Source organism: Homo sapiens, chromosome 4 (genome assembly GCF_000001405.40).
Source record: "Homo sapiens chromosome 4, GRCh38.p14 Primary Assembly".
Lineage (NCBI taxonomy): Eukaryota > Metazoa > Chordata > Mammalia > Primates > Hominidae > Homo > Homo sapiens.
Window position 1 is genome coordinate 120568035 of NC_000004.12, and position 7156 is coordinate 120575190.

Genomic DNA, 7156 nt, shown 5'->3' on the forward strand with positions numbered 1-7156 from the left:
ATTTCTGTCTTAGTTGTAATTTTCTCAAAATCACAAAAAAACAGACCAAAAAATAGAAATCAATGCCCCAAGAATGTCAAATCTGTTTCAAATTATTTTTTAGAATAAAATATATATGAATAAACAAACAAAACACCATATTCTGCAAAGGAGGTTACACAGATTTTCTTCAGAATATACATAACAAGAAAGCAGGAATAATTTCCTATATATGTTCCAAATAATAAGTAATACCAAATGCTCAATAAATATTCCTTTGATAACAAGCCAGCACAAGTACCAGCTGTTAAACATAAGAACTGACCATAAAGTATTTCAATTAATCATCTTGTAATAAGTTTTAAATAACTATCTGTTTTGTTGGGGTGGTTCTTTGTGAGAGATGCGTGATTAGGCATAAATGACCAAAGTAAAACATTCAGGACTGGAAAAATTTCTATTAAGGCAAAAAATTTTTCCCTCTTAAAGAGATGTAAATCAAACCCTCAGAATGTTTAAAAATCATACTGATGAAAAACCATAAGGCAAATTATTTAAAGGTAATTATATAATAATTCATGTTCTTCTGCCAATTGAACATTTATTAACATTGATTTACGTAATACTTATTAAAATACTTTAAAATGTTGTGCATAGAAATGAAAGCCACCAGAGATCAACAGCCCTTTATTACATACAAAGGAATTTTACTAATAGATTTTAGCCAACATAGTTTTCTATTCAAAATAATCTCAGAGAAATAAAAGATATACCAATGCAAACATTGTGATGTTGTAGTCTAAACTGGCTGGGGGTGTTTCTTCTTGCCTGTTGGTGAGCCTATGAGTAGACTTTCTCATAGATGACACAGCTGTCTGCAAGTGCCTACTGTTTTGTCTCAAAACTTGTAGGGACAGGTGCATCTTGTCATTCTCTGGTATACATTACAGGCCTGCCTTGTTTATCATTCCAAGATGAGCTCCGATGTGAGTAGCACTGACAGTGCAGCGTATAATCAAATGCCCTTTGAACTGAGGGACCAGAATTTATTGGTGTTAACACATTTTACAGTTTATAGGGTCATCAGCCCCTTAGCTTCTGAGACTTTTTTCAAGCTTAGCTTTGAATCTATAAATACAACTGATTTATATCACAAAATTTACCTGAAATATGATGCTTAGTGTTTCATTTCATAAATTCCTTACCTCATAAATGAAATATAATTTTAAAAGTTAATAAGATTATGTTTTTCCTTCCCTCATCCATCTCAGCAAGGAATAGTAGCATAATTCTTCAATAATGACTTTTCTGTATGGGAGAAAAAGATGTTTTAACATAAATATAGTTAATTTTTGAATAACTGCATTATAATTGTAAATGTGTCTTATAAGCCTGAATTAACTTAGAGTTATCTCTGAAAATTATATAGTAGATAAATAATAAGATATGCTATTTTCAAATACTGTAGAAATTTCATGTGTTCTTTTTTATTTTTAGTTATCACATTCTATAACTTTTTTATTAATATGAAGAAACAAATTTAAAATACTGTAAGCCATGTTTCTGCTTAACTGAAGTCTGAAGTTAGAGGCCTAAAACAAGAACAAAGCACAAATAAATGGGATCCAAATCTTAGAAGACATCAAAAAGGGAATGTTCAAGAGTCCTTTCTTGCATAACCTAGCTATTCGAGTTAGCTTTACAATCATTTCAATCTTTCAAAATAAAACTGCTGTTTATAATAAAAATTTTTGAATAAAAGAAAATACTGAGTATTTGCACTTTAATGTGGGATCTTGGATTTAAATTAGTAATTGATGAGAAGACAAATACTTTTAAGCAAAAAAAACTTGAAAGTATTTTTTAAATTATAAGAAGAAAAAACAGTAATTATACCTGAAGTTACCTGATAATGACTTCAGTTGGAGTTGAATTCAATGATATATATAATTTAATCATACCATAGTTCTCATTTGCTCAGACTGAAGTTAGTTACCTTAAACTCAATTAGAAACAAAACCATATTATTTCCAGTAACATGGAATTTGTTCATTGTAATGGCTGTTTAACTTTAAAGGTCTAATTAAAGAATTTCCTGATTTATGCAATTGAATTATTTTCTTACTTTTTAATATAGGATGAACTGAAAAGATATAAAATATCATGAAGTATGTGTACTTGACAAGTTTATTGCTTATACACAACAGAAACCAACTCTGGCTAACTGGAGCCAAACAGGACTTTCACTGGAAAGTTATTAAACAACTCAAGAATTTGGAGACATGTGGGCAAATAAAGCTAAGAGAATTGGAAGGAACCAAGGGAATCTAGGTCATCAAGAACCCAGACAAAATTCAAATGCAATCCCTGGAGCAGCCACAACAGTATCCTCCCCACTGAGCCCCTCAACTCTCAACCTCACTGCCTTCACTTCTATGGAACATTAGCAAAATAGCATCTACCGTAGCAACTAACCCTCCTCCTTCACATTAGTAGATTCAGGCTAAAAGTCTCAGAGAGAAGGCACCTCATATGGGTTTTGGGATATCAATTCCATATTGGAAGCAAAGTCTCAAAGTCTTATGTGTTGAATTGTGTCTCCACAACATCTGTTTGTTGCAGTCCTAATCCTGAGTACTTTAGAATGTGACCTTATTTGGAAATAGGGTAATTGCAGACATATTTATATATAATAATAGTTTAGATGAGGTCGTGCTTGAGTAAGGTGGGCTCTTAATTCAATATGACTCATGTCCTTATAAAAGGGGAAATTTGGAGACAGACAAGCACACAGGGAGAGTTCCATGTGAATATTAAGGCAGACATTGGGTGATTCAAAGTAACTACCTAACAAACTATGACAGAATCAAAGCCTCACATATCAATATTACCTTTGAATGTATATAGTCTAAATGCTGCACTTAAAATATCTAGATTGGCAAACTGGATAAAAAGAAAAAAAAAACAAAGAGAGACCCAATCATCTACTGCTACAAGAGACCCACCTAATCTGTAATGACACCCTCAAGCTCAATGTAAAGGGGTGAAGAAAGATACATCATGCAAATGGAAAACAACACAGAGCAGGGATTGCTATTCTTTTATCAGATAAAACAGATTTTAAACCAGTAACAGTGAATAAAAAGACAATTAAGGGCAGTGTATTGGTCCATTTTCACACTGCTAATAAAGACATACCTAAGACTGAGCAATTTATAAAAGAAAAAGGTTTAACTGGACTTACAGTTCTACGTGACTAGAGAAGCCGCACAATCATGGTGGAAAGCAAGGAGAAGCAAGTCACAGCTTATGTGGATGGCAGCAGGCAAAGACACCTTGTGCAGGGCAATTCCCATTTTTAAACCATCAGACTTGAGAAACCCATTCACTATCTTTTATTATTATTATTATTTATTTTTTTGAGGCAGAGTCTCACTCTGTCATCTAGGCTGGAGTGCAGTGGCACAATCTCAGCTCACTGCAACCTCTGCCTCCCAGGTTCAAGGAATTCTCCTGCCTCAGCCTCCTGAGTAGCCAGGATTACAGGACCACACCACCATTCCCAGCTATTTTTTTTTTTTGTATTTTTAGTGGAGACAAGGTTTCACTATGTTGGTCAGGCTGGTCTCGAACTCCTGACCTTGTGATCCACCCACATTGGCCTCCCAAAGTGCTGGGATTACAGGCATGAGCCACTACACCTGGCCTCAACCCATTCGCTATCATGAGAATAGCACAGGAAACACCTGCTCCCATAAATCAATCATCTCTCATCAGGTCCCTCCCACAACACATGGGAATTATGGGAGCTAAAAGATGAGATGTGGGTGAGGACACAGAACCAAACCATATCATTCTGCCCTGGCCCCTCCAGAATCTCATGTCTTCCCATTTCAAAACCAATCATGCATTCCTAACAGTCCCCCAGAGTCTCATTTCAGCATTAACCCAAAAGTCCAAGTCCAAAGTCTCATCTGAGACAAAGCAAGTTCCTTCCGCCTATGAGCTGGTAAAATCAAAAGCAAGTTAGTTACTTCCTACATACAATGGGGGTACAGGTATTGGGTAAATACAGCCATTCCAAATGGGAGAAATTGGCCAAAACAAAGGAGCTACAGGCCCCACGCAAGTCCAAAATCCAGCAGGGCAATCAAATCTTGAAGCTCCAAAATGATCTCCTTTGACTCCATGTCTCACATCCAAGTCATACTAAAGTAAGAGGTGGGTTTGCATGGTTTTGGGCAGCTCCACCCCTGTGGCTTTGCAGGGCATAGCCCCCCTTCTGACTGCTTTCATGGGCTGGTGTTGAGTGTCTGTGGCTTTTCCAGATGCACAGTGCAAGCTGAATATGGGTCTATCTTCTGGGGTCTGGAGGACTGTGGCCCTCTTCTCACAGCTCCACTAGGTGGTGCCCAGTAGGGAGTCTGTGTGGGGGCTCTGACCCCAGATTTCCCTTCTGCACTGCCCTAACAGAGGTCCTCCATAAGGGCCCTGCTTCTGCAGCAAACTTTTTTCTGGGCATCCAGGCATTTCCATACATCTTCTGAAATCTAGCCAGAGGTGCCCAAACCTCAATCCTTGACTTCTGTGCACCCACAGGCTCAATACCAGGTGGAAGCTGCCAAGGCTTGGGGCTTACACCCTCTGAAGCAACAACCCAACCTGTACCTTGGCCCCTTTTATTCACAGCTGGAGCAACTGGAATGCAGGCCATCAAGTCTCTAGGTTGCAGACAGCAGAGGGACCCTGGGCCTGGCCCACAAAGCTATTTTTTCCTCCAATACCTCCAGGCCTGTGATGGGAGGGGCTGCTGTGAAGGCCTCTGACACACCCTGGAGACATTTTCCCCATTGCCTTGGTGATTAACATTTGGTTCCTCTTTACTTATGCAAATTTCTGTAGCTGGCTTGAATTTCTCCTCAGAAAATGGGATTTTCTTTTCTATGAAATGGTCAGACTGCAAATTTTCTGAACTTTTATGCTCTGTTTCCCTTTTAAAACTGAATGCCTTTAGTAGCACCAAAGTCACCTCTTGAATTCTTTGTTGCTTAGAAATTTCTTCTGGCAGATACCCTAAATCATCTCTCTCTAGTTCAAAGTTCCACAAATCTCTAGGGCAGGGGCAAAATACCACCAGTCCCTTTGCTAAAACATAACAAGAGTCACCTTTGCTCCAGTTCCCAACAAGTTCCTCATCTCCATCTGAAACCACCTCAGCCTAGATTTCATTGTCCATATCATTATCAGCATTTTGGTCAAAGCCATTCAACAAGTTTCTAGGGAGTTCCAAACCTTCCCACATTTTTCTTTCTTCTTCTGAGACCTCCAAACTGTTCCAACCTCTGCTTATTACCCAGTTCCAAAGTCACTTCCACATTTTCATGTATCTTTTCAGTAGCACTGCACTTCTGGTACCAATTTACTGTATCAGTCTGTTTTCATGCTGCTGATAAAGTCATACCTGAGACTGGGCATTTAACACAAGAAAGAAGTTTAATTGGACTTACAGTTCCATGTGGGTGGGGAAGCCTCACATTCTTGGTGGAAGGCAAGGAGAAGTAAGTCACATCTTACATGGATGGTGGCAGGCAAAGAGAGCTTGTGCAGGGCAACTCCTGTTTTTAAAACCATCAGATATCATGAGACCCCTTCACTATCATGAGAACAGCATGGGAAATACCCACCCCTATAATTCAATCATCTCCCACCAGGTCCTTCCCACAACACACAGGAATTATGGGGACTATAAAATTAGATGTGGGTGGGGACACAGAGCCAAACCATATCAGGTAGTATATAAGGATAGACAGTTCAATTCAACAAGAATATTTATCTATATTAAATATATATGCACCCATCACTGAAACACCTACATTTATAACAAAAAGTATGACTAGACTTAAGAAAAGAGATAGACAGCCATATAATAGCCCCTAGTAATAGTTGGGGACTTCAACTCTCCAATGATAGCACTATACAGATCATTGATGCAGAAATAATGAAACAAAAGCCAAATGACCATATACAACATATACCGTGATCATACTCTTAAGATAAAAAAGAAACTCTGGACTTAAACTGAACTCTTGAACAAATTGACCTAATAGATATCTACAGAACATTCTAACCAACTGAAGAATATACATTTTTCTCATCTGTGCAAAAAGCACTCTCTAAAATTGACCATATCCTTGGTCATAAAGAAAGTTTCAATAAACTCAAAAAAATCAAAATCATATCAAGTATCTTTTTGAACCAAAGTGTAATAAAATTAGAAATCAAAACAAACAGGAATTCTCAAAACCACACAAGTACATGGAAACTAAACAACTTGCCCCTGAGAAACTTTGGGGTAAACAAAGAAATTTAGGCAGAAATAAAAAAAAATTGAAATCAATGAAAATAGAGACATAACATACCAAAATCTCCAAAGCAGTGTAAAGAGAAAAATTTGTAGTGCTAAATTAGTACATCAAAAAATAAAAAGATCTCAAATTAACCAGCTAATATTGCACTTCAAGGAACTACAAAAACAAGAAAAATCCAACTAAAAGCTAGCAGAAGAAAAGAATTTTAAAAGATCAGAACAGAACTAAACAAAATTAAGAGCAAATAAATTATACAAATGATCAACAAAACAAAATGTTGGTTCTTAATTAAAAACAACAACAAAAAAGACCAGAAGATTCAACTAAACACAATCAGAAATGATAAGGTGATACAACCGATACCACAAAAATACAAAAGATCATCTTAGTCTCTAGACGACTATAGAGTAGTCATAGACTACTATGAACACCTCTATGTGCATAAACTAGAAAACCTATAGGAAATGGATACATTACTGAAAACATACAACCTCCCAAGATTAAACCAGAAAAAAATTGAAATTGAATGAGTAACAAAAAATAATCTACCAACCATAAAAAGCCCAGGACCAGATGCATTCATACCCATAGTCTACCACACAAAAAGAAAATCTGGTACCAAACTACTAAAATTATTCAGAAAATCCAGGAAGAGTTATTCCTCCTTATCACATTCTATGAAATCAGTATCATCCTCATACCAAAATCTGGCCAGGACACAGCAACCAAAAAGGAAAACTACAGGCAAAATCACCTGATGAACATAGACACAAAAATCCTTAACAAACTACTAGCAAACCAAATTCTGC

General features: G+C 36.8%; 1 long non-coding RNA gene across 2 annotated transcripts; it reads right to left on the bottom strand.

Annotated features, from left to right (window-relative positions):
* Positions 1 to 649: 649 nt before the first annotated feature.
* Positions 650 to 5591, bottom strand: LOC124900771 (uncharacterized). 2 transcript variants are annotated; one of them, XR_007058260.1, is made up of 2 exons: positions 5487 to 5591; positions 650 to 1287 (listed from the first exon to the last, which is right to left on the bottom strand). It is a non-coding gene; the product is annotated as an uncharacterized LOC124900771 (long non-coding RNA). The 2 variants fall into 2 exon arrangements; XR_007058259.1 differs by lacking the exon at positions 5487 to 5591 and adding an exon at positions 1886 to 3212.
* Positions 5592 to 7156: the final 1565 nt, after the last annotated feature.